The following is a 26,706-nucleotide window of genomic DNA, read 5'->3' on the forward strand; positions in this document are numbered from 1 at the left end:
TGCCCAGCCACCGTCCATTTTTTCTAGAAATAACAACCTTATAAGAACTGCCAGTTTGGGCTGAGTGCGGTGGCTCAGCACTTTGGGAGGCCGAGGTGGGCAGATCACCTGAGATCAGGAGTTCCAGACCAGCCTGGCCAACATGGTGAAATCCCGTCTCTACTAAAAATACAAAAAATAAAAATACAAAAAATAAAATAAAATAAGCCTGGCGTGGTGGCACGTGCCTGTAGTCCCAGATACTTAGGAGGCTGAGGCAGGAGAATCACTTGAACCCGGGAGGTGGAGGTTGCACTGAGCCGAGATCACGCCATTTCACTCCTGCCTGGGTGATGAGAGCGAAACTCCTTCTAAAAGAAAAAAAAGAACTACCAGTTTCATTTCCATGTCTACCTACCATTCTGCCATCAGGCTCAGTAAACGAAATGGGCAAGTAACATTTATCCAGCATAGACTACTGGCCATAACTCAAATTAGCTGTTGATGAATATCACTTTATTGAACTATTCATAAGACTTTCTGAATTAGGTTTCTTAATGTATTCATTTTATAGAGAAACAAACAAGCTCAGAGACTTAAAGTTGTCCAAGATCAGTGTATTTGGTGGCAACACAGACCTAACCCAACTTACTATGAGGGCATCTGTACCCAAGAAGAATGGAGATGGAACTGAGAACAGGCACATATTAATTCAGGATCACGAATGTTTATCGCACTCTCATTCTGCCTCTCTCCATTCTCCTTCAGTTCTATATCTCAGGTGCATTTTCCTTTGAGTAGCCCTCATTCTTTTCAACCAAACAGGGCTTCCCCTGTACATACTGGGCAGGTAGTTCTTCCCAGCTTAGCCACCTCAGGGGAGAGCGTTTCTCTTTTAATGTCTGAAACAAATCTCTTCAAGACAAGGACTCTTATTGCTCTGCTTGAGAACATGCCCATTTCTGAACTGTCACTGCATCGAGGGGCATAGGATCCTGTCCCTGAGAAGACCAGATCAGGTGAGGGACTCCTCCTGCTGGGACGTATATGTGTGTATGTGAGTGTGTGAGCCTGTGTGAGTGTGATTGTGTGACTGTGTGTGTGTATGGCTTTATAGCACACTAAAGGGTATTAGGAAAAGGACATATAAAATTGGAGCTGAAGATACATTTTTTGCCCTCCACTAACTCTTAAAAATGGTTTTTCACATCTAGTGGTAATGGGTAGATATCATAAATTATCTAAAGATAATTATTAATGTGCTTTAAAAAATACTTTTTTTCCAGTCATATACTTATGGTTCAAGGGAATTTGTAGACAAAATAAGATACTACTCCAGCTTTGTGACATGGCATGCTTTGTGATATGGCACATGCTTTGCGATATGGCACAGGTCACTATAGGAAAAGTTAAGACTCAAAAATTCTCCTGAGAGGCCATCTTACTTCAATTTATAGGAAGAAAATGTCACTGTGTAGATCATTACTTATAACAAAGACTCTATATACATTTTATAGATGGTCATTATGCATATCTTTTCACAGAAATTTCTTTTTTCATTGACATTTAATTTTCAGATAGCAGGAGATCCTTGAACTTCTTTTTGGGCAGGGAAAGAATAATTTCAGAGGATAATTATTACTATTGTTGATACTTGTTGTATACAAACTCTTTCTAAAGATGAAAGCCTTTTCCTGAGAATAGCTGCTTAGAATATGTAACTGAGCATGAAAAGAGAAGGTAGAAAGTGGTTGGCGTCCTAGACATTCATGTGTAGCCTGAAAGTAGGATTTGGCTACTTTTTTTTTTTTTTTTTTGACGGAGTCTTGCTCTGTCACCCAGGTTGGAGTGCAGTGGCGCAATCTCGGCTCACTGCAAGCTCCACTTCCCGGGTTCACGCCATTCTCCTGCCTCAGCCTCCCGAGTAGCTGGGACTACAGGCGTCCGCCACCACGCCTGTCTAATTTTTTGTTTTTTAGTAGAGATGGGGTTTCACCATGTTAGCCAGGATGGTCTCAATCTCCTGACCTTATGATCCACTCGCCTCGGCCTCCCAAAGTGCTGGGATTACAGGCGTGAGCCACCACGCCTGGCCTTGGCTACTCTTTAAGTTGTCTTTTTAATACAATGCTTGTTTCAAACAGATGTCATAAATAACCAATTTGGTGTGTTTTGAGGTGATCACAGTAAGATGAAGGCAGCATGACCTTCAGAGACAAGGAAGTAGTAGATAATGTAAAGCGACTAAAACATTCCACCACTTTTTGTCAAGGCAGGTTATTTTTCCATGAGAAATGACTCTTCAGCTATGGTCAGGAGGATGCTAACAAACCAGACCCTAAAAAGTCAGACTGTTCTGCAGAAATCATTAACCCACTGTAATTTTGGTCCATTTCAAGACGAACTGAGAGCATAGCTTTGTCCAAGACATACATCTGGGCTGTCTGCCATATACTGGCAAGGAAGGAAGTTGCTCTTTTGGAGGTAAGATTCAGATAGACTTGGACTCTGCTGTCTACCTGCACAAGCAAGCTGGACTCGACCTGGCTCGGTGGGATCTCATCTGGTCCTATTGCTTTAACTGCACCTTAGTGGATTTATTTCTAAAATGAATTTACTGCTTCATTTAACATGTCTCTCTTTTTTTTTTCTTTCTTTCTTTCTTGAGACGGAGTTTTGCTCTTGTTCCCCAGGCTGCAATACAATGGCGTGATCTCAGCTCACTGTAACCTCTGCCTCCCAGGTTCAAGCTATTCTTCTGCCTCAACCCCTCCGAGCTGCTGGAATTACAGGCACGCGCCACCATGCCCAGCTAATTTTTGTATTTTTAGGAGAGACGGGATTTCACCACATTGGCCAGGCTGGTCTTGAACTCCTGACCTCAATTGATCCACCCACCTTGGCCTCCCAAAGTGCTAGGATTACAAGCATGAGCCACTGTGCCTGGCCATTTAATAGATCTTTATTGAGCAATGATTTGTGTCAAATTTAAGCATGAGATATTCAGGATGAATAAGAAAGAGTGCCATGGATCTTGTTCAATTAACAGCGTCCTATCAGGCATTGTTCTAGAAAAAGTACTTGTGAACACAGAGTTTATGTCCACAGCAAAGCAGCAGAAAACAAACAAATGATGCACATACAAATGTTATTATGTGAAGTGGGGATCAGCGATGAGAATTTAAATCAAGCAGTGTCAAAAGACTGAGAGTGACTTGAGCCAGTGCTGTGATCTGATGAGGTGAGACATGAATTTAGTGAGAAGAGCTATGTTAACACCTGGATGAACAACGTGCCAGCCAGAAAAGAGAGCAAGTACAGTGGCCATGAGGGGGACCATTTTTGGTGGCTTTGAAAAGCAGCAAGGTGGCCAGTGTTACTGTGATAGAATAATAAGGGGCAGAGAAGGAGTAGGGGGCATCTGAGCAGTAGCCGGAGAGCAGATCATGTAGGGCTTTGCAGGATATGGTAAGGAATCCTGGCTTTATTCAGAGTAAGATGGAAAGGAATGGGAAAAAACAGTATGATCAGAACATGATCTGAGTTAGTTTCTGCAGGGATCCCTGTCATGTGGGATGGGGGTTGGGAAAGTGGAAGTCAGATGAACATCTGGCAGCCCTTGCAATGGTCCAAACCAGAAGATAATTGCTTCAATAAATGCTGTGTGTGTTAAAGGATTAGTGATTAGCTGGAGTGGGAAGAAGCTGTTGGATTCTGGATATAGTTTAGGACTGAGCAACAAAATTTGCTGCTAAGTTGGATATAGGATGTGAGGGAAGGAGAGAGGAGTCATGGTTGACACCAAGATTTTTGTCTGTGATGTGCAGTTATCATTTGCTGATGTGAATAAGACAGAAGAGAGATGGGCTGAGGGGGATAATTAGAAACCAAGAGTTCAGTTTTGGATACATTAAGTGTATACACAAATGTGCACATACAAGTGCACACACTTATACACACACTTAAGTAGAAGTGTTTGAGTGGGTAGTTAGATATATAAGTCTGCAAGTTCAGGAAAGAGGCCCAGTTGGAGTGGGAGTTGTCAGCGGATAGGTGCTATTTAAGGCCATGCTATTAGATGAGGCCACTCAGAGATCTAGAAAGCATGACCTTCAGATAACACAGTCTCTGAGTAAAGAATGTGGCGAGAACACTTTATCTCATACTGCTTGTACGTTATTTATATCAAATCAAGGATTCATTCATTCTCATTTACTCATTCCTTTATTTATTCACTCACATTTTATTTAACAGATATCTGATAGTGCCCTGCCAGGCACTAAACCAGGTACTAAGGACATAGTGAAGAACAACAGAGGCATGCTCGTTGGACAGTTCTATAAATCCCAGCTACAGGCATACCTCATTGTATCACATTTCATTTTACTGCACTTTGTAGATATTGCATTTTTCGCAAATTGAAGGTTTGTGGCAACCTTGCATTTAGCAAATCAATCAGTGCTGTTTTTCCAACAGCGTTTGCTTACTACGTGTCTTTGTATCATATTTGATAACTCTCACAATCTTTGAAACATTTTCGTTATTATATCTGTTATGGTTATCTGTGATCGGTGCTCTTTGATGTTACTATTTTAGTTGTTTTGGTGCATGATGAAGTATGCTCATATAGGACGGTGAACGTAATCAATAAATGCTGTGTGTGTTCTGACTGCTCCTCTGACTGGTCATTCCCCTGTTTTTCTCCCATACCCTGAGATACAATATTGAAATTAGACCAGTTAATAACCCTACGCTAGCCTCAAAATGTTCAAGTGAATGGAAGAGTCACCCATCTCTTACTTTAAGTCAAAAGCTAGAAATGATTAAGCTTAGCAAGGAAGGCATGTCAAAAGTGAAAAAGGCTGAAAGCTTGGCCTATTGTGCCAAATAGCCAAGTTCTGAATGCTAAGAAATAGTTCCTGATGGAAATTAAAAGTGCTCCTCCTCTAGTGAACACATAAATGATAAGAAAGCTAAACAGCCTATTGTGTGGTGTTTTGTTTGTTAGTTTGTTTTTACAGGGTCTCACTCTGTGGCCCAGGCTGAAGTGCAGTGGTGTAATCACAGCTCACTGCAGCCTTGACCTCCCAGGCTTAAGCGTTCCTCCCTCCTCAGCCCCTTAAGTAGCTGCGACTACAGGCAGGCAACACCACACCCGGCTAATTTTTGTATTTTTTGTACAGCTGGGGTTTCACCATGTTACCCAGGCTGGTCTCAAACTCCTGGACTCAGCTGATCGGTCTGCCTTGGCCTCCCAAAGTGCTGGGATTACAGGCATGAGCCACCGTGCCTGGCCAAGGCAGCCTTTCTTATCAAATTTTAGTAGGCTGGATAGAAGATTAAAGCAGCCGCAATATTCCCTTAAACCAAGTCTAATCCAGAGCAGGCCCTAACTCTCTTCAATGCTATGAAGGCTGAGAGAGACGAAGAAACTGCAGAAAAAAGTTTGAAAGAGGAGTCGGCTGACTGGAAGCAGCTGGTGGGTGCCGCTCACAGGGAGAGAAGAAAGAGTGGTGAGTGGACACTAGCTCTTCAACTGGAACATCCAGGTGGACACACTGGGATTCATCAAGGAAACAATTTGACCCCCATGCAATGAAGGGGAAGGAGACTGGATGACTGCCTGCCATGGAATGGCATGGAGCCGGGGCAGTCCCCTTCACCATGGAGAAATGGGTGAGTGAGAGTCCTTGCCACGACCTTTGCAACCCTGTACCCAGTACATGCCTCTTGGGGGGGAGATCCCCTATGTGGTGCCTTCAGACTGACACAGAGAGCTACATGGAGTCTGGGCAGAGCCTCCACTCAGGCACACATGGAGTCCTGGGAGCCTTGGATCCCACGGCATCCTGGCAGTAGTGGCTGCAGCTCCCGCAGTGGAGTAGGTCAGTCTTCCTCACATGCCTGCATGAAAGGGGCTGAGCATTGAGGAACTGTAGGCCTCCCCACCCCTTATGTTCACAGGATAAGGCCTACTAGCCTCTGACCCTAGCCTGGCCATACCAGCCCTGCCTGGGCCCTCAGGCTGGTACCAGCTCTTCACTTCTCTGGGATAGAGCTCCCAGAGGAAGAGGCTGGCTGCCATTTTTGCTGCTCTGCGGCCATCACCCCTGTTGCCCTCAGGCTCTCGGGTGTGGGCAGTGACTAGGGTCTGGTGCAGACCCCCAGCAAAATGCAGCCACGCTATGGAAAAGTGGCCAGATTGTTCTCCATATGTGTCTTCACCCCTGCTTCTCACAGGGCAGGGCCTCCCAACCCAGGACTTCAGCACAACTGTCCCCATCAGAACACTTCAGTCAGTGGTGGCTTTGCATTTCTCTGAGGAGGAATTCCCAGGGACAACCCACAGCCTCTCTCCCACTGCAGCTGCAGTGGTAAGGCCCTTGGTGCTCTCCAGCTGGGGAAGGAACAAAGAGCCTGGTTGCTACACTAGCACCTCCAGCACACCACAGCCACCATGTGGAGAGGATCCCAGTCTCTCTTCCCTGTACTACCCGACTCTTCACCAGGCAGGCCCCTAGCTCAGGACCACAGAATAGCTGCCTACCCCTGCTGAGCATACCCACTGCTAGTGGCTCTTTGTTTCCCTGGGGAGTGGCTCCCAGAGACAACCGATGGCCTCTCTTTCACTGCCATGGCTGCAGCAGCCTGCTTTTGCTGCCCTTGGACTGGAGAAGGAACAGAGCCTGAGGGCTTTACTCATGCTTCTAGCACACCACAATCACCATACAGAGAGAAGCCTAATTCTCTCCTTACTGTGAGCCCCTGTCCCCCACCACCCATCACCAGCCAGAGCCCCCAGACTGGGGCAGCAGTGTAGCCACCCCAACCCCTGGCTGAATGTTCCCAGTAACAGCGGCTCTGGGAGTGGTGCTGCCCTGGCTGCCCTAAGACCAGGGAAGAAGCAAAGACCCTGCATGGTTTAAACACATATCCAGCAAGCCACAGCCACCCTAAGGAGAAGAGGCCAGATTGTCTCTCCTGCATCCCACCCACCACCCCTGCTCATCACTAGGCAGAGGCCCCCCAGCTTGGGCCCATAGCACTACTGCCCCATCCTTGGCCGATCACACTGATTGACAGCAGCTCTGCATGTCTCTGTTGTGGAGCCCCAAGAGACAAATGAAAGACCCTCTGCTGCTTTCTCCTGCTGCCTCCAGGATGGGAAGAGAACATAAAGCCTGGCTGAGATCACCCTAGACTGTGGTATGCAGCTCAGGAATGCCCAGCCAAGATCTGCAGCCAGCACTCAAGTGGGAGAGGAGTCCTCACTTTCAGAACACTGAGAGGGAGCACAGCTCCAATCCTGAGGAAATACAGAGGAGCCGCGTGACTGAACAAGCACCTACCTACTGGCCATTACACTTAAGTGCCACCTACTGGATCTCAGCCCAAAACATCAACACCAAAAATACTTTATAATATATCCCCATGAAACCAAGGACAAGAATCAGCTACGAATGAACAACTGGCACAAAAGCCTGGGCCCTCTGAAAACATCCAGAAAAGAAGTCAACTGTACTCAAATTACACCACAGTTAAAGGAACAGTTACCCACAAAGATGAGAAAGAATGAGCGCAAGGACTCCGGCAACTCAAAAAGCCAGTGTGTTTTCTTTTCTCCAAATGACTGCGCTAGTTCCAGCAAGGGTTCTTAACCAGGCTGAAATGACAGAAATAGAATTCAGAACATAGATAGGAATGAAGATTATCAATATGCAAGAGGAAGTTAAAACTCAATTCAAGGAATCTAAGGATTCCAGTAAAATGCTACAGGACCTGATAGACAAATGGCCATTAGAAGAAAGAATCAAACTAATCTGATACAACTCAAAAACATACTACAAGAATTTCATAATGCAATCACACATATTAACAGGAGAATAGGCCAAGCAGAGGAAAGAATCTCAGCGCTCAAAGACTAGTTCTCTGAACTTAGACAAAAATAAAGAAAAAAGAATTAGAAAAGAATGAACAATACCTCTGAGAAATATGGGTTTGTGTAAAGAGACCAAATTTACAACTCATTGGCAACTCTGAAAGAGAAAGGGAGAAAGCAAACAACTTGGAAAACATATTCAGGGTATCATCCATGAAAAAACTTCCCCAACCTTGCTGGAGAGGCCAACGTTCAAATTCAGGAAATGCAGAGAACTCCTGTGAGATACTACACCAGAATACCATCCCCAAGACATGTAACCATCAGATTCTCCAAGGTCAAAATGAAATTCAAAAGTGTTAAAGGTAGCTAGAGAGAAGGGGCAGGTCAGGGAACCCCATCAGGCTAAACCCTACAAGCAGAAACCTACAAGCCAGAAGAGATTGGGGGGGCCTATATTCAGCATTCTTAAAGAAAAGAATTTCCAACCAATAATTTTATATCCAGCCAATTTAAACTTCATAAGTGAAAGACAAATAAGGTCATTTTCAGACAAGCAAATGCTGAGGGAATTCATTACCACCAGACCTACCTTACAAGAGATCTTGAAAGTAGTGCTAAGTATGGAAAGGAAAGACCATTGCCAGTCATTACAAAAACACATTTAAGTACCAGACCATTGACACTATAAAGCAACCACACAAAAAAGTCTGCCTAATAACCAGCTAACAACATGAGGGCAAAATCAAATCAGCATCATATCACATTAGCTTTAAATGTAAATGTGCTAAACGCCCCAGTTAAAAGACACAGAGTGATAAGCTGGATAAAGAAACAAGACACAATGATACGCTGTCTCTTGGGCAGCATAGGCTCAAAATAAAGGAATGCAGAAAAATCTACCAAGCAAGTGGAAAACAGAAAAAAAAACTGGGGTTGCTATCCTAATCTCATATAAAACAAACTTTAAACAAACAAAAATAAACACGCAGACACACACACACACACACACACACACACACACACACACACACAAAGAAGGGCATTACGTAATGGTAAAAGGTGCAATTCAACAAGAAGACCTAATTCTCTCTTAAATATGTAAGCACCCAACACAGGAGCACCCCGATTCATAAAGCAAGTTCTCAGAGACCTATAAAGACACTTAGATTTCCACATAATAATAGTGGAAGACTTCAACATCCCTCTGACAGTATTAGACAAATCATCGAGGAAGAAAATTAACCAAGATATTTAGGACTTAAACTCTGTACTTGACCAAATGAACCTAATAGACGTCTGTAGAACTTTCCACCCCACAGCAACCGAATGTATATTTTTCTCATTACCAGATGACACATACTCTAAAATTGACCACACAATTGAACATAAAACAATCCTCAGTAAGTTAAAAAAAACAAATCATACCAACCATCCTTTCAGACCATAGCACAATAAAAATAGAAATCAATACAAAAAAAAACCTCTCAAAACCATACAATTACATGGAATTTCAATAAACTGCTCCTTAAGGAGTTTTGGGTAAATGAAATTAAGGCAGAAATCAAGAAATTCTTTGAAACTAATGAAAACAAAGAAGCAACACACCAGAATCTTTGGGACACAACCAAGGCAGTGTTATAAGGAAGTTTACAGTGCTAAACATCAACGCCCAAAAGTTAGAAAGATCTCAAATTAACAACCTAGCATCATAACTAGAGGAACTAAAGAACCAAGAGCAAACCAATCCCAAAGATAGCAGAAGACAAGAAATAACCCAAATGAGAGCTAGCTGAAGTCAATTAAAATGTGAAAACCACACAAAACATCAACAAAACCAAGAATCTGTTCTTTTGAAAAATTAATCAGATAGACTGCTAGCTAAACTAACAAAGAAAAAAGAGAGAACATCAAAATGAAGACAATCAGGAATGACAAAGGGAATGTTACCACTAATCTCAAAGAAATACAAAAAATGCCCTCAGAGACTACTGTGAACACCTCTATGCACACAAACTAGAAAGCCTAGAATAAATGGATAAATTACTGGACACATGCAACCTCCCAAGACTGAACCAAGAAGAAATTGAACTTCTGAACAGACCAATTATGAGTTCTGAAATTGAATCAGTAATAACAAGCCTACCAAGAAAAAGCCCAGGACCAGACAGATTCACAGCTGAATTTTTACCAGTTATACAAAGAAGAGCTGATACCATTTTTATCAGAACTCTGCCCCCAAATTGAGCAAAACACATTCCTCCCTAACTCAATCTATGAGGCCAGCATCATTCTGATACCAAAACCTGGCAGAGATACAACAAAAAAAGAAAACTTCAGGCCAATATCCTTGATGAACATCAGTGCAAAAACCCTCAACAAAATACTAGCAAACTGAATCCAGCAGCACATCAAAAACCTAATCCACCATCATCAAGTAGACTTTATCCCTGGGATGCAAGGTTGGTTCAACATACATGAATAAATAAATGTAATTCATCACATAAACACAACTACAAACTAAACCACTGATTATGTCAATAGATGCAGAAATGTTTTCAATAAAATTCAACATTTCTTCATGTTAGAAACTTTCAACAAACTAGGTATTGCAGGAACATACTTCAAAATAATAAGAGCCATCTATGAAAAACCCATGACTAACATCATACTGAATGGGCAAAAGCTGGAAGCATTCCCACAGAAAACCAAAACAAGACAAGGAAGCCCTCTCTTGCCATTCCTATTCAACATAGTACTGGAAATCCTGGCCAGAGCAATCAGGCAAGAGAAAGAAATGAAAGGCGTTCAAATAGTAACAGAGAAAGTCAAACTATTCCTGTTTGCAGACAAGATGATTCTATGCCTAAGAAAACTCATAGTGTCTGCCCAAAAGTTTATTGACCTGATAAACAACTTTAGCAAAATTTCAGGATATAAAATTAATGTACAAAAATTAGTAGCATTCCTATATGTCAACAATATCCAAGCTGATAGCCAAATCAATTATGTAATACTATTTACAATAACCACAAAAAGTATAAGATATCTAGGTATTTCAACCAGAGAGGTGAAAGATCTCTACAAAGAGAACTACAAAACACTGCTGAAAGAAATCAGAGATGACACAAACAAATGGAAAAACATTCCATGCTCATGGGGAATAGGAAGAATCAATATTGTTAAAATGGACATACTACCCAAAGCAATTTATAGATTCAGTGCTGTTCTTATCAAACTACTAATAACATTCATCACAGAATTAGAAAAAAACTGTTTTGAAATTCATATGGAACTAAAAAGAGCCCAAATAGTCAAGGCAGTCCTAAGCAAAAAGAACAAAGCTGGAGGCATCGCATTACCCAACTTCAAATTTTACTACAAGGCTACAGTTATCAAAACAGCATGGTACTGGTACAAAAATAGACAGATAGACTGGTAGAACAGAATAGAGATCCCAGAAATAACATCACACATCTACATCGATCTGATCTTTGACACAGTGGACAAAAACAAGCAATGGGGAAAAGGTTCCCTATTCAATAAATGGCGCTGGGATATGGCTAGTCATATGCAGAATATTGAAAGTAGATCCCTTCCTTACATCATATACAAAAATCAACTCAAGATGGATTAAAAACTTAAATGTAAAACCTAAAACTATAAAAATCCCAGAAATAACCTAGGAAAAACTATTATGGACATAGGACCTGGCAAAGATTTCATGAGGAAGACACCAAAAGCAATTGCTGCAAGAACAAAAGTTGACAAATGGGACCTAATTAAATAGCTACTTCACAGCAAAAGAAAAATATTGACAGAGTAAACAAACAGCCTACAGAATGGGGTAATGTATCTGCAAACTATTCAACTGACAAAGGTTGAATATCCAGAATCTATGAGTATCTTAAATTTATATGCAAAAAACAATCAGGCCTATTAATAAATGAGCAAAGGTCATGAGCAGACGCTTTTGAAAAGAAGGCATACATGTGGCCAACATGCATACAAAAATGCTCAATATTTTGTTATTATGCTCAACTAGTTATTAGAGACATGCAAATCGAAAACATAATGAAATACCATCTCACACTGGTCAAAATGGCTATTATTAAAAAGTCAAAAAATAACAGATGCTAGTGAGATTGCTGAGAAAAGGGAATGCTTATACACTGCTAGTCGAAACTTAAATTAGTATAGCTACTGTGGAAAGCAATGTGGCGATTCCTCAAATAACTTGGAATTATCATTTGACTCAGCAATTCCATCACTGGGCATATATCCCAAGGAATATAAATCATTCTGCTACGTGTATGTTTTTTGGAACACTATGCACAATAGCAAAAGCAGAAATCAAACTAAATGCTCATCAATAGTAGACTGGATAAAGAAAATCTGGTACATATACACTATGGAATATTATGCAGTCATTAAAGAGAATGAGATCATGTCTTTTGCAGCAACATGGGTGGAGCTGGAGACCATTATCCTAAGTAAACTAACAGAGGAACAGAAAACCATATACTACATGTTCTCACTTATAAGTGGGAGCTAAACACTGAGTATGTATGGACACAAAGAAGGGAACAACAGACACTAGGGCCTACTTGAGAGTGGAGGGTGGGAGGAGAGAGAGGATCAAAAAACTACCCATCAGGCACTATGCTTATTACCTGGATGATGAAATAATCTGTACACTAAACCCCATGACATGCAGTTTACCTATATAACAAACTTACACATGTACCCCTGAATGTAAAATAAAAGTTTGAAAAAAATAGAAAATAGAGAGAAAGGTTTGAAGGTAGCAGAAATTAGTTCATAGGGTTAAAGGAAACTAAACTATCTATATAATATAAACCAACATAAAAATGCAAGGTGAAATTGCAAATGCTGATGTAGACGCTGCAACAAATTATCTAGAAAATCTAGCTAAGATCATTGATGAAGGTGGCTATGCTAAACCATAGATTTTTAATGTAGACAAACAGCCGTATATTGGAAGAAGATGCCATCTAGGACTTTGGTAGCTAGAGAGGAGAAATCAATGCCAAGTTTCAAAGGACAGGCTGACTCTCTTGTTAGAGACAAATGCAATCAGTGACTATAAGTGGAAGCCGATGCTCATTGTTTATTCTGAAAATCCTAGAACTCTTAAGAATTTTGCTAAACTACTCTGCCTGGAGTAACAAAGCCTGGATGACAGTATATCTGATTATTTTATGGTTTACTGAATATTTTAAGCCTGCTATTGAGACCTACTGTTCAGCAAAAAAGATTCCTTTAAAAATATTATTGCTCATTGACAATGCACCTGGTCACCCAAGAGCTCTGATGGAGATGTACAAGGAGATTAATGTTGTTTTTCTGCCTGCCAACACAACACTCATTCTGTAAGCCATGGATCAAGGACTAATTTTGACTTTCAAATCTTATTATTTGAGGAACATATTTTGTAAGACTAGCTGTCAGAGATAGTGATTCCTTTGATGGATCTGGGCAAACTAAGTTGAAAACATCTGGAAAGAATTTATCATTCTAGATGTTATTAAGAACATCCATGATTCATGGGAGAAGGTCAAAATAATAATGTTAACAGGAATGTGGAGAAAGTTGATTCCAACCTTTATAGATGACTTTGAGGGGTTCAAGACTTCAGTGAAGGAAGTAATTGTATGTCTGGGGGAAGTATCAAGAGAATCAGAAGTGGAGCCTGAAGATGTGACTGCATTGCTGCAATTTTATGGATGATAAAACTTGAATGGATGAGGAGTTGCTTCTTATGGATGATCAAAGAAAATGTTTTTTGGAGATGGAATCTACCCCCTGGTAAAAATGTTATGAACACTGTTGAAATGACAATAAAAAATTTAGGCTATTACATAAATTTAGTTGATAAAGCTGTGGAAGGTTTAGAGAAGACTGACTCCAATTTTGAAAGAAGTTCTACTGTGGGTAAAATGCTATCAAATGCTTGCTACAGAGAAATATTTCATGAAAGGAAGAGTCAATTGATACAGCAAACTTCATTGTTGTCTTATTTTAGGAAATTGTCATAACCACCACAGCCTTCAGCAACCACTACTTTGATCAGTCAATAGCTATCAAGACTGAGATAAGACACTCCACCAACAAAAACAGGGTAAGCCACTGAAGGCTCAGATGATCATTAGCAATTTTTAGCAAAAAATATTTTTTCCAGTCAACAATATTTATTGAGTAGTGATGCTGTGGGTGGTCTATATATCCCCTTGGACTTCATCTTTCCTACACATATCAATAGGTTCTTTTTAAAAATTATAAAACAAAATTTAAAAAATATTTTTTGACATAGTAATTTATTGTTACATAATTATACATATTTATGGGTTTCATGTGATATTTTGGTACATATATACAATGTGTAATGATTGAATCAGGACAATTAGATACCCATCACCTTGAACATTGATCATTTCTTTGTGTTGGGAGCATTTCAAATCTTCTAGATATTGTATATTGATATATACAATAAATTATTGTTAACTAAATTATAGTCACCCTACTGTATTATCAAACACTAGACTTTATTCTTCCATCTGACTGTATGTCTGCATCCATTAACCAACTCTCTTTAGTCCCCTTCTATCTTCCCAGCCTCTGGTAACCATTATTTTACTCTCTACCTCCATGAAAGCAACATTTTTAGCTCCTACATATGAGTAAGAATAAATGATATTTGTACCAACAAAGTATTTTTAATTAAGGTATATACATTGTTTAGATATAATGCTATTGCACACTTAATAGACTACAGTATGATGTTAACATAACTTTTGTGTGTACTGGGTCACCAAAAAATTTGTGGTTTATTTTGATATTTGCTTTATCCTGGTGGTTCAGAATATCTGCAGTATCTCCAAGGTATGCCCATATAGTGTACACCAAAGCACCAAGACCAGTGTAATATTAACGACTAGCTTTTAATATATATTTTCACCTATAATTCCTATCTCTTGTTATTAACCTAGTTATCTTTAAAGAATACTCATAAATATTGAGTGGTTAGGGTTATCTGATATTTGACTCTAAATGTTTGCTTTGGTTATATAATAGATGTTGTCCTAATAACTTGTGTGGAAATCATATTTTGAAAATTCTTATTTTAAGACTTTGAGAGGAGGTTAGTTCTTAAAAAATAATCCTAGTACTTTCAAGTATTAGAATATAGAATATACTTCATTTGGTATTTCAGATATAGAATGCTGAATTTGGAGTCCTTGGCTAACCAACTTTATTGAAATAAAATTTAGGGGAAAAATAGAACAGTTCATTGAGTTATATTGGTCAGGAATGACTGAAAATAAGTCAACTGCACTTTTCCATATAGTTTATAAAATATGGTTTCATGACTCGTGAGATGAGGTAAGCTTCAGTAAATCCACTGGATTGACTACATGTGAGTTTCTAAAAGTTACGGGGTTACAGAAACGGAGCAGGAGATCCCATGAAACAATGATGATAATGTTTATTTGTGGTATAAAAGTATGCCATAGTCTGATTGAGATGGACCCACAGCGTGATCTTTTTCTTGTGTAACTGAGGTTGTTTCGTGAGGGATAGCCAAGCTTGAGGTCAGAGTCTTGCCAGCCAGACCATTTTTTTTCCTGGCTTGGAGAGGCTGCCATACATTCCAGTCCAGAGAGTGAAACATTAGCAACTTTTCACTTGAAGGATTATAAAATTACTGGAAAGAGAAACTGGACAGTTGCTCTGGCCCTTTTTAGACATTTACCAAGCTAAAGTCCAGTTAAGACTTCCTCAGCAATACGTCCTACTGGATAGGTCAGAAACCACTTCCATCTGATTTCAGCTTCAGGCTATGTATTTCTAACTATCTGTGATTTTAATCAATTCCAGCAGCTAACCAGTCGCTTCAGGGAGTGGGGTAGCAGCATAGTACACACATAAATACACAAAACAAACACAAATGGTCAAGCTAGTTTCTGATTTATTTGAGTACATATTGACATTCACTTGTGTGCTACTGGGGCCCACATGTCTGCTGCTGTGGGCTCTGTTGGTAGGGAATAGATCTCTGGACTTTCTCCCATCCAGATGATTCTGTACCACTCAACCAGAACAACTATCCTAGCATTTGTCAAACTTAAGAGACACAAGCTAAGAAATCTTCAATGTTTTCCCACTTCCTAATAAAGTATATATCCAAGTTTGGCACTAAAATTTTTTACAAGGTAGCTCCTAAATACCTTTTATTTATTTAATAATTTAGTTTTCAAGCATCTTTTTAGTTTTTTTTAGATGAAGTCTTGCTCTGTCATTCAGGCTGGAGTGCAGTGGTGCTATTTTGGCTCACTACAACCTCTGCCTCCTGGGTTCAAGCAAGTCTCCTGTCTCAGCATCCCAATTAACTGGGATTAAAGGTACCCATCACCACACCCAGCTAATTTTTGTATTTTGAGCAGAGACGAGGTTTTAACCATGTTGGCCAGGCTGGTCTTGAACTCCTGACCTCAGGTGATCTGCCCACCTTATCCTCCCAAAGTGCTGGAATTACAGGCATGAGCCACCATGCCTGGCCACATCTGCTTAGTTTTTAAGCAGCATATATTGTGTTTGGTGCTGTCTATAGAGTAATGAGCTAGAGTGATATGTCCTTATGAAACCACCTATTTTCCTGTGGTAAGGCAGGCATTTAACAAATAGACACAAAATGATTAATTATAATGTGAAAACAAGAACATGCAAAGAAAACTGAAAAGGCCCTTAGCTCTGGCAATTAAGTCATTGACTTTAGTCTGTAAAGACTGTGGTTTCAGAAGTGGGAGACCAGTTTTAGGAGTGTAAGGGGTAATCCAGAAAACACACAGACTTTAGAAGAAAAGGAGTATGACTACTGGATGCATCAATGCCTGGCTGATCTATGGCTCCATTCTGATAATTCATTTGCTTTTGCCTTAGTGTGTGCCTCACAGTCACTCTTTAGTAGTTACATTGGCAGGTGTAACTATTGTGCAAAATGGTCGCAACATGGGACAAAAGTAAATCTAAAATCCTGCTGTTCATGATGATGTGGAGTGAGGGCTGGGATCTCCGCAGCAACCTCCAGTTCCTGGAACACTTGATCCTCAGCACTTTCCCATGTTTTAATTTGCCTGGTGTCAGAACAACGGATGTATACTTTCTTTATTTAACACATCAAATATTTTTGCTCCTAAGTAAAGATGACTCTTGAATTACTCTAATATAACCAATGTTGTAGTCACTTTGGGCTGCTATAACAAAGAATTATAGAACAGACGATTCTAAGAACAGGTCTGGAGGCTGAGCGAGGCCCTCTTCCTCTTTGCAGACTGCTGATGTCTCATGTCTTCACACGGCGGAAAGAAAAAAAGGCAGCTCTCTTGGGCCTCTCTTATAAGGGCACTAATCTTATTCATGAGGGCGCTACTCTTATGATTTAATTACCTCCCAAAGGCCCCACATCCTACTATCATCATCTTGGACATTAGGATTTCAACATATAGATTTTGAGAGCTACAAACATTTATCCATAACAACTGACCAGCTATAAGATGTATCCTTTCATGTGTTTTAATAATATCTTTGAGAATTTTCCTGGCTCCCTAACATAATAATCAGTATCATATTTCCAGTTTTGTAACAAAGGAAAGAGCTATGCATCTATAGTGGGGCAGTGGGACCTCATAGTTCCTATTCTTATTCCACTGTGATGCATCTCCTGGAGGCTATTAATGCCATCACTGACCTAGTGGACGTGAGTTCCTACTCCTTTAAGGCTCTGACTAACTAGACACTACCAGGTAGTACCAGGCTGGAACATTGTAATAAGACATTACTAAATGCTTAGTGCAAACACAAGGGAAATAACTAGAAAGCAACATACACCTACAGGAAATGACAAGGCAGATTCTGTTTATCCTCATTTGTAGTTTGCTAAAGTGATGACCTTCTGTCAGCTAAATCTCCTGATTTCATAGGACAAAGAGTGTCTGTGATCCTTAATGCTGTCAGTTTATTGAACAAGTTGGTGGCTAGGCACAAGAAGATCTGTTATTTCTCACCACACTTCATTAAGCTCCATAAAATAGCACCTGCATCTTGGCCATGTGACATGATATTTCTGGTTACTCTTAAACAATAAAATGTCTACTTTGGGCCAGGCATAGTGGCTCACGCCTGTAATCCCAGCACTTTGGGAAGGTGAGGTGGGCGGATCACAAGTTCAGGAGTTCAAGACCAGCCTGACCAACATGGTGAAACCCTGTCTCTACTAAAAATACAAAAATTAGCCGGGCATGGTGGCACATGCCTGTAATCCCAACCACTCAGGAGGCTGAGGCAGGAGAATTGCTTGAACCCAGGAGGCGGAGGTTACAGTGAGCCGAGATTGTGCCACTGCACTCCAGCCTGGGTGACAGAGCGAGACTCTGTCTCGAAAGAAAAAAAAAATTCCGTAATCACATTATCTCGCATTGTGTGCAGTTTCAAATTTATCTCTTCCCCCAGTTCAGGTATATTTCAGGTTTGGAAGGCTCAGACCCCCTGCAGTAAGGGAGTCACTATAGTCAGTGTCTTTTCTGTCTGTCCATCTTCTTCAGCTCTACTCATTCTCTATTATTCTGCTGGGCACGTGACTCTTCCAGGTTCAGAGCAGGAGGGGCAGGAGACCTAAGGTGTAGAAAGGTCTTACTAGGTGAGGTGTATCTGGTGTTGATGTCCTCTGGAAGGTGCTGACTCAAAACGATATTTTGTTGCTGTTTTTAGGGACTCTTGTGATTCTTTTGAGGACTCCCCTTTCAGTTCCTTTGACATGGTAGATGCTTCCTGTTGTTAGTTGCTTACAATCTTCCTCCAAGGCCCTTGGATTCCTAGTGATGGATCTGATTATTCCTGCTTGATCCTCTCATACCCCTAGGCCTTCCTCTTTAGCAGAGGCCCACTCAGGATGACTCAGTCCAGCTTCTCTCTGTGGCGTTCCCATCCAACTCTAGAGAAACTCACACAGCCCCGAATGTACAGGACATTCTAACCTAGCTGTCGTTTGTTGCTCTAATGCCCCAGGACAATTGGCTAACACAATGCCTTTCTTTTGTACTCCAGGTGGGAGACCAAACCAGCCCCCTTATCCCTCAACTTTCAGGGAAAGCCATCATTTTTTATAACAGTCTCTCTTAAAAGCTTGCTGTTTTGCAAACTAACACGGGAACAGAAAATGCAACACCGCATGCTCTCACTTGTAAGTGGGAGTTGAACGATGAGAACGCAGGGACACAGGGAGGGGAACGTCACACACAGGGGCCTGTCAGGGGATGGGAGGGCTAGGGGAGGGATAGCATTAGGAGAAATACCTAATGTAGATGACGGGTTGATGGGTGCAGCAAACCACCAAGATAAGTGTATACCTATGTAACAAACCTGCACGTTCTGCACATGTATCCCAGAACTTAAAGTATAATTTTTTTAAAAAAGAAAGAAATGTGCAGAATAGGCAACTCTATAGAGGTCGAAGGTAGATTAGTGATTGCTTAGGGATGGTGGGTAGTGGTGGGACAGCAGATTGGTATCTAAGGGCTATGGAGTTTCTTTGTGAAGTGATGAAATGTTTTAAAAATAACTGTGGGGGGATGGTTGCACATATATTGAAAAATGTTAAAACTGCTGAATTGTATATTTTAAATTTGTGATTTATATGGCATGTGAGTTTTATCTCATGAAGGCATTTTTAAACAAAACAACACTGCTGTAACTTAGACCAAACCAAAGTTTGTGTCAAATCCTGCTGTGTAATATTGGTTAAATTTTATAGTCTAAAATCTAAGCTTCATTTATGAGGATACTCACTTAATTGCTGAGGTGTGACGACAAAACATATTAGTAAATTTATAGGAACAAAATATTAGACCTATTACTGAGAAAATACAAAACCTGGAAATATGATTATATCTTTAAAAAGAATCTTATTTAGAATCAAGGGAAGTTATGAAACATATCAAAGAAATTAGTAGCTGCTAAATACAGAGTTAATACGTTAGACATTCCTTATCAGTGATTACAGAATACTTATATCAAATGAAATTAGATTATATATATTTGAATGGTAAACATCCAAAGTAGAATAAATTTATCATTTTGTATCCTAGAAAAAAAAGGTTGCTGTTTTTAGAGACGCTTTGCAAGAAAATGAACATGGAAAGCATCTCTGTGGAGCGAATTGTTTCATATTCTGCAGTATTTCACCAGTATCCCACATTCCAGATGAATGAAGAAACTAATTCTTCTACTTGTTTGTACACAAATTTCTCAAGATATGAGCTTTCCATTGGCAAACAACAATTACTCAAACATTGAATAACTACCATGTTGTGACAATATTTTTGGAAAATTTATCCTTTAGTCTTGAAACTTCTGAAATCATCTGAAAGTTATCTTTCTATTAATCGATCTACATGCCTCTGAATTCTGAAGAGAGAAAATTATGTATTGTCCCAATGTCCACAAGTATGGATTTAAACTGGGAACATTTATGTGGCAATGCATTAATGATTATTTGTGTCTGTGTCTATGTTGCCAATAGATGTTCATTTGTCTGGCTTGGACTTAAAAAGAAAACAGGCAGATTCCATTGTTATTGTAAGGCTTAGGTTTACCTGTTGCCTTCGTCTTCTCAGTGACCCCAAATACAGTCACCAATGCTCTCCACCTTCAAACTCAGCTTTAGCTGAATTTCCAAATCAGTCCAACCTTGTAATGGAGCCCGGATCTAGAATTCAGAGTTCCAGGAATGGACCCTGGGCATCTCTTTAGTTCCTTAGCATTTCTCCTTGTTCCTGCATTATTGTCCTATCTGGGAATAGGTGGCTTATTGCTCATCAGGGGCTTGAAATCCTGCCTAACTTCTGAGCACTGCCTTATAGCACTATTGTTGTTGGACCAGAGTCCTTCATAAACTTACTAATTGCTTGGAACCAAGGCCCTCCCTGCTGCCTTCATTAGGGCTTGCCTCCTAAACCTCTAATACCTTCTAGGCCGGATTAAATTCTACTGATATTAATGATTTGCAAACCATATCTAATGCAAATTTTCCCAAACAGCTATTCTTGAAAACTCCACTCTCTACTCTCTCCCTTTTTTCCCTGCTCCACATTTCTGAGATTCTAGAACACCTTGTACTTGTGCTCTAGCAATTGAGGGAGGGTCTGTAGAAATGAACATTCATAGCATACCTGGAATTTCTAAGAATTTGGCAGATGTGGACAAGAAAATCTCATTGACGAAAGGCAATAAATGGGTGGAAAAAAGTCCTGTTGAATGAATTATAGGTGTTTGATGATCAGTGTGTATTGGTAGAAAGCAAAGCTTTGCTAATAGATTTGGGTGTGAAGTTCAACACTTCCAATTTCTAAGTTTGTGACTTTTGGCAAGTTACTTTGCTACCCTGAGCCCCAATTTCCTCATCTGTCAAAAGAAAGCTTCTAATAGCCAGCTCCTATGACTCATATGAGAATTAAATAACACATGCCACAAGCTCTAGGCACTCATTGATCTTGCATGAAGTGTCTAATCCATATTTGTCTGGGTGCTAACCTGGAGAGCTGTCTTTAGTGGTATCCTGTTGACTCAGAATATGTTTAATACATTAATCTTTCTGGTTGGTTGAAGGTTTTTATTATACACTTTGGGTACATAAGCATGAATTGAGTTTATTTCTTCTAATACTGGCCCCCAACTCTGTTATTCAACCTTTTTTTCCTCCTCTACTGAATAGTAAGTTCCCTAAGAGTGTTTTGGGCAACAGTGCAGACGTATAAAAGTGAATTACTCATTTGGAAAAAGTCAAATAGTTTGAGTAAGCAAATCAAGAAGATTTTCTGTCAGGAAGAGGTGTGAGTATTTTATAAATGAGGCAAAGATGGCCTCTGTGTATTGACCCCAAGTTGTTAATTTCTTCCCCAGAGGCTGAGAACTGTTAGCACAAAAGCCCACCAAGTGCCAAACTCAAATTTCCTCCATATTCAGTTATTTCAAAAATAGCACAAACAAGCAGATTTTTAGCTACTTAGAACTACGCTGCTTCTGCCCTTGGGACGGATCCAGAGACTCCCCACAGTGCTGCCAAGTGGATATCGGCAGACACCTAAGCCCCTGGTCCAGACTGCCTCGCCCCCAGAGGCTTCTTTGCCCTCTACCGCCTCCGTGTTGGGACATCTGTGCCATTCATTGGGACAGACTGCTACTGTTAGGGACTTCACCCACATGCACACCCATCCAGCCATCACCCAGTAAAGCTTGTGTGTGCTATTGCTTCTTGGCATATCTTTTCTTTTATCAGTTCCCCAAACCTCTCCCTACAAGAGGTTAATGGGTTCACAGATATAGTTAGATAAAACAAATAATATGTTGTATTAGATAACACAACAGGGTGACTACAATCAATAATCATTTATTGTATATTTTAAAATAACTAAAAAAATGGGATCAGTGTGTTCATAACAGAAAGAAAGGATAAATGCTTGAGGTGATGGATACTCCAATTATCCTGATCTGATTTTAACACATCGTATGTCTGTATCAAAACATCACATGTGTCAGGCTTGGTGGCTCACCCCTGTAATCCTAGCACTTTTGGAGGCCAAGGTGGGCGGATCACTTGAGGTCAGGAGTTCGAAACCAGCCTGGTCATCATGTGAAACCCCGTCTCTACTAAAAATACAAAACAAACTAGCCAGGCATAGTGGTGGGCATCTGTAATTCCAGCTACTTGGGAGGCTGAGGCAGGAAAATCGCTTGCACCTGGTTGGTGGAGGTTACAGTGAGCCGAGATCACGCCATTGCACACCAGCCTGGACAACAGAGTGAGACTCTGTCTCAAAAAAAAAAAAAAAAATCACACAGACCCCATAAATATACACATCTCGTAAATACCCATAATAATTAAGAATACAAAATAATAGGTAAGGTTGAAGAAGCAGCAGAAGATAGTTTGTGAAGGAACTTGCATATTATGCTAAGATGTTGGGATATTATCTTTAAGGACAGTAAGCAGGGGAGGGACATGCTTCCCTTTATGTTTTAGGAGGTTCACTCTGGCTGCAGTGTGGAGAATGAGTTGAAAGGAGCAACGATGGAGGTAGAGGTGCTGTTGTCATAATGAAGAAAAGTAGTGCTGAAGACTAGGGGGAAGGAGATGCAGGGTATAGAGCTTGGTGGTCAGTTGGAGTTTGGCAGGTGGGTGGGTAAAAAATGAAGAGTCAAAGTAACTCCAAGACTTTTGGTTTGGGTGTCTAAAAATTATTGTTGTCATTATCCTTGGCAGAGAAAATAAAGGGAAAGAGCTGATGAGGTGAGAAGGATGAGAGTTTCAGCTTAGGGTAAAGTGGTTTTCATAGGAACAAGGTGGTGAGGCTTTTGGAGTGAATTAATCCTCTTAGAAGAGTAGGCAAAGTAGCCAGGTATGGTGGTTCACACCTGTAATCCCAGCGAGACAAGAGGGTCACTTGAGGGCAGGTGTTGGAGACCAACCTGGGAAACATAGAGACCTTCATCTCTACCAAAAGTTTAAAAATTACCCTGTTATGGTGGCACCCAAGTAATCCCAGCTACTTGGGAAGCTGAGGTGGAAGAATTGCTTGAGCCCAGTTTGACGGTGCAGTGAACTATGATCTTATCACTGCACACCACTCCAGCCTGGGCAACAGAGCAAGGCCCTGACTCAAAAAAAAAAAAAAAAAAAAAAAAAAAAGGAGCAGAAGATTGTAGAAAGTAAGATGTTAAGAAGACTGAGGACTGAAGATAGAAACTTCAGCAACACTGGGATCTAAGAAACCTGCAGAAGACGGCCAAGAATCCACAAATGAGGCTGGGAAGAAAGAATGTGAGAAGTTGGGGAAAACTCAGAATAGAGTGCTGTTGTGTGAGCCAAAGGTAGAATATTTCAAAAAAAAAGAGCAATGATCAGCAACAAGTCAAATGCCACAGAGTTCACATCACAGAAGGACTGGGAGTTGTCCTGGAATTTTAGCAGCCTTGAGAGCATCTGGACTTCTTTGAAAGAGATAGAATTCATTTCTCTGATTACATTACCTAGAAATAGACATTACATGATTAACATTCATGAGCAATGATGAGGCATATGAATAATTATTAGAAAATTGTGCAATTTAAATGGTTATGTCAACTAAGTGATACAAATATGATGATAAATTTATAGATGCATTGCCTCTGAGAAAACAGCACTAAACATATCTGAACTTTGCATTTGACCTGGTGAATTTAAAACCCCATGGAGATCCCAGATAATATGGAAAATATGTATAACTTTAGTTCATATGAATTCCTATGTGCCTAATGATGATTTGTGTTTGAAAGAAAAAATGTGTTGGAAAGAAAAAAAGACTTTTCCACCAGAATTCATAAGGTTTTATGTCAGTATACATAATAGTTGTTGCTATAGAAATTTTATTTGTTTTACTAAAGTGATTTTCAACATTTTACATTTACGCAATAAAAGCTGCTATAATGGGTTTTCTTCCTAATACCTTTACTGCATTAAAGTATTTACATATAGTCATATTGTATGTTTTTCTTCCTAAAGAACAGTATGTAGATACCGTCCCAAAATAATACCTTATTATTAGTTTCTAATTGTTTTATTTCTCACTCAGAATTTGGCTATCATAAATATTGTCTTTGCACTTGAGAAAGTTAACTGGATTGTATCTATATGTCAGTTAAAAACTACTTTTGAGTTCTTATTTTTTCTTCAGGGAGAAAAAATGTAATCATATAATCTAGAAAGAACAAACCAGATGGGATTGATAGACAATTACTGGGGCAAATATTTCTAATGTCTGACTGGAATATCCTTCCTCTTCACTCTCCAGCTCAATTCCTCATTCTTTAACTGGCAAATCTTTATTCTTTAAAACAATAGTACCATCCTGTTTGTGCGGTAGCGTCAGCCCTGTTTTGCCCAGGCAGTATCCATTGCCCTGTTCTTATCTCCGGTATAGGACATTCACCCCATTGTTTGTTGATGTCTATTTGAGTTCCTTTAAGTTGTGATCACTTTGAGGGTGAAAAGTGACATCTTTATATTTGCAAAGGGCAGAAAATGTTATCATATGTTTGTTGTACAATAATATTTTTAAGTTACTAGTGATTAATTTCACTTTTCTAATCCTAATCATACAATTAGGTAGGCAGGCTAGATTATCTCCGTTTTACAGATCAAGAAACTGATGACCAGAATACACCTCTGGCAGACGTGGAAAACCATGCTCTGATTCTATTTCTACCACAGGATACAAACAATCTTTTAGTAGTTGTCTGATTACATTGTGATATCAATGTTATTCTTACGAACTGTTCTTTATACTTCTTTTATTGGAAATTCTCATTAGAATTTCTTGACCACTGTGATTTTCTTTTTATTTTCGCTTCCCATTTCCACCAAGGATTTTATCTTTGGTAAATTGTTTCTATATCAACTTGAGGTTTAGAATCTTGGATGGGAAAAAATATCTTTATTTTTATTTGTCTCTAACCATAATTTAGCATCTGTGACTGGTTACTGGTATAAAACACAGATTTCATTTAATATCACTGCTGTTGAAGCTAGCTTGAAAAATGATTTATATTCATCAGTGCTTTGAAATTATGGTATTTATTAGACCTGCTAGATCCCTTTATTTAATGTATTAATAAAGGAGACTGTATTTTATTGTATCACAAATGTAATTGTTAAAAATATTGATAGCTTTATCATAAATGCTTCTCATTTTAATCTTATGTATTTTATTTTTTAATTTGAAAACATTATTCTGGGAAGGGGACTAAGTTTCAAGGGGTCTATGATGCAAAGCATTTTATTATTATTATTATTATTATTATTGAGACGGAGTTTTGCTCTTGTTGCCCAGGCTGGAGTGCAATAGCACAATCTTAGCTCACTGCAACCTCTGCCTTACTGCAACCTCTGCCTCCCAGGTTCAAGTGATTCTCCTGCCTCAGCCTCCCGAGTAGCTGGAATTATAGGTGCTTGCCACCAAGCCCGGTTAATTTTTTGTATTTTTAGTAGAGATGGGGTTTCACTATGTTGGCCAGGATGGTCTCGAACTCCTGACCTCAAGTGATCCACCCGCCTCAGCCTCCCAAAGTGCTGGGATTACAGGCATGAGTCACCATGCCTGGCCTAAAGCATTTTAAAGAATGACTGCTACAATGGAAAACCAGTTTCACAGAATCCTTCCCTTTGAAGCTTCGTGTCCAGACATTCCATCATCGAATCTACTTTCTTTTTTTTTCTTTTTTTTAGTGAGTGGATGAGACTGGGTAACTGTAGTGAAGGCTGCGATGTGCCAGTTAGGTTCCCTCCTTCCCCTGAATAGGACAACTGCTCTCAGCTGATTCTGGCGGAGAGTTTCCTTGGCTGAAAAGAGCCACCTGGATGAGGTCATGCCCCCTTCTGGGACAAACTGCATTCAATGACTGTTGTGAAGGGGTCCAAAGGCCTGGCTCCTCCCTTCCCAAATGGGGGATGATTCTGAAGGGTCATGTATCTCCAGAGCTCCCTCTAGAATGGGCCTAGTGAGACCTTTGCTGTAATTGCAACTTCCTTTTCTGTGGAGTGTTTCTTCACTTCCCATGGTAGTTGATCCTGAAAGTACTTCCAAGTAGAGTGCCACGTAAAACACAATTAAATTAGAATTTCAAACAAATAATTTTTAGTAGAAGCATGTCCCAAATATGACATGGGACATAAAATATACTAAAAAAATTTATTGTTTATCTGAAATTCAAATTTAACCAGGCATCCTGAATTTTTG

The 26,706-nt window shown here is 40.0% G+C and overlaps 1 long non-coding RNA gene across 1 annotated transcript in view, besides 1 other annotated feature; it reads left to right on the forward strand.

Moving 5' to 3' along the window:
* The window catches only part of LOC124903159 (uncharacterized), a 128,664-nt gene that overhangs the window by 26,364 nt on the left and 75,594 nt on the right, over positions 1–26,706 (forward strand). The gene's annotated exons all lie outside the window — the stretch shown is intronic.
* Positions 7,079–7,373: a silencer, noted in NCBI's record as "tiled region #1712; K562 Repressive non-DNase unmatched - State 24:Quies". NCBI's record gives its function as "represses a minimal TATA promoter and a strong SV40 promoter by Sharpr-MPRA in K562 cells {active_cell/tissue: K562}" and the evidence as "EXISTENCE:reporter gene assay evidence [ECO:0000049][PMID:27701403]".

This window comes from Homo sapiens, chromosome 13, assembly GCF_000001405.40.
Source record: "Homo sapiens chromosome 13, GRCh38.p14 Primary Assembly".
NCBI lineage: Eukaryota > Metazoa > Chordata > Mammalia > Primates > Hominidae > Homo > Homo sapiens.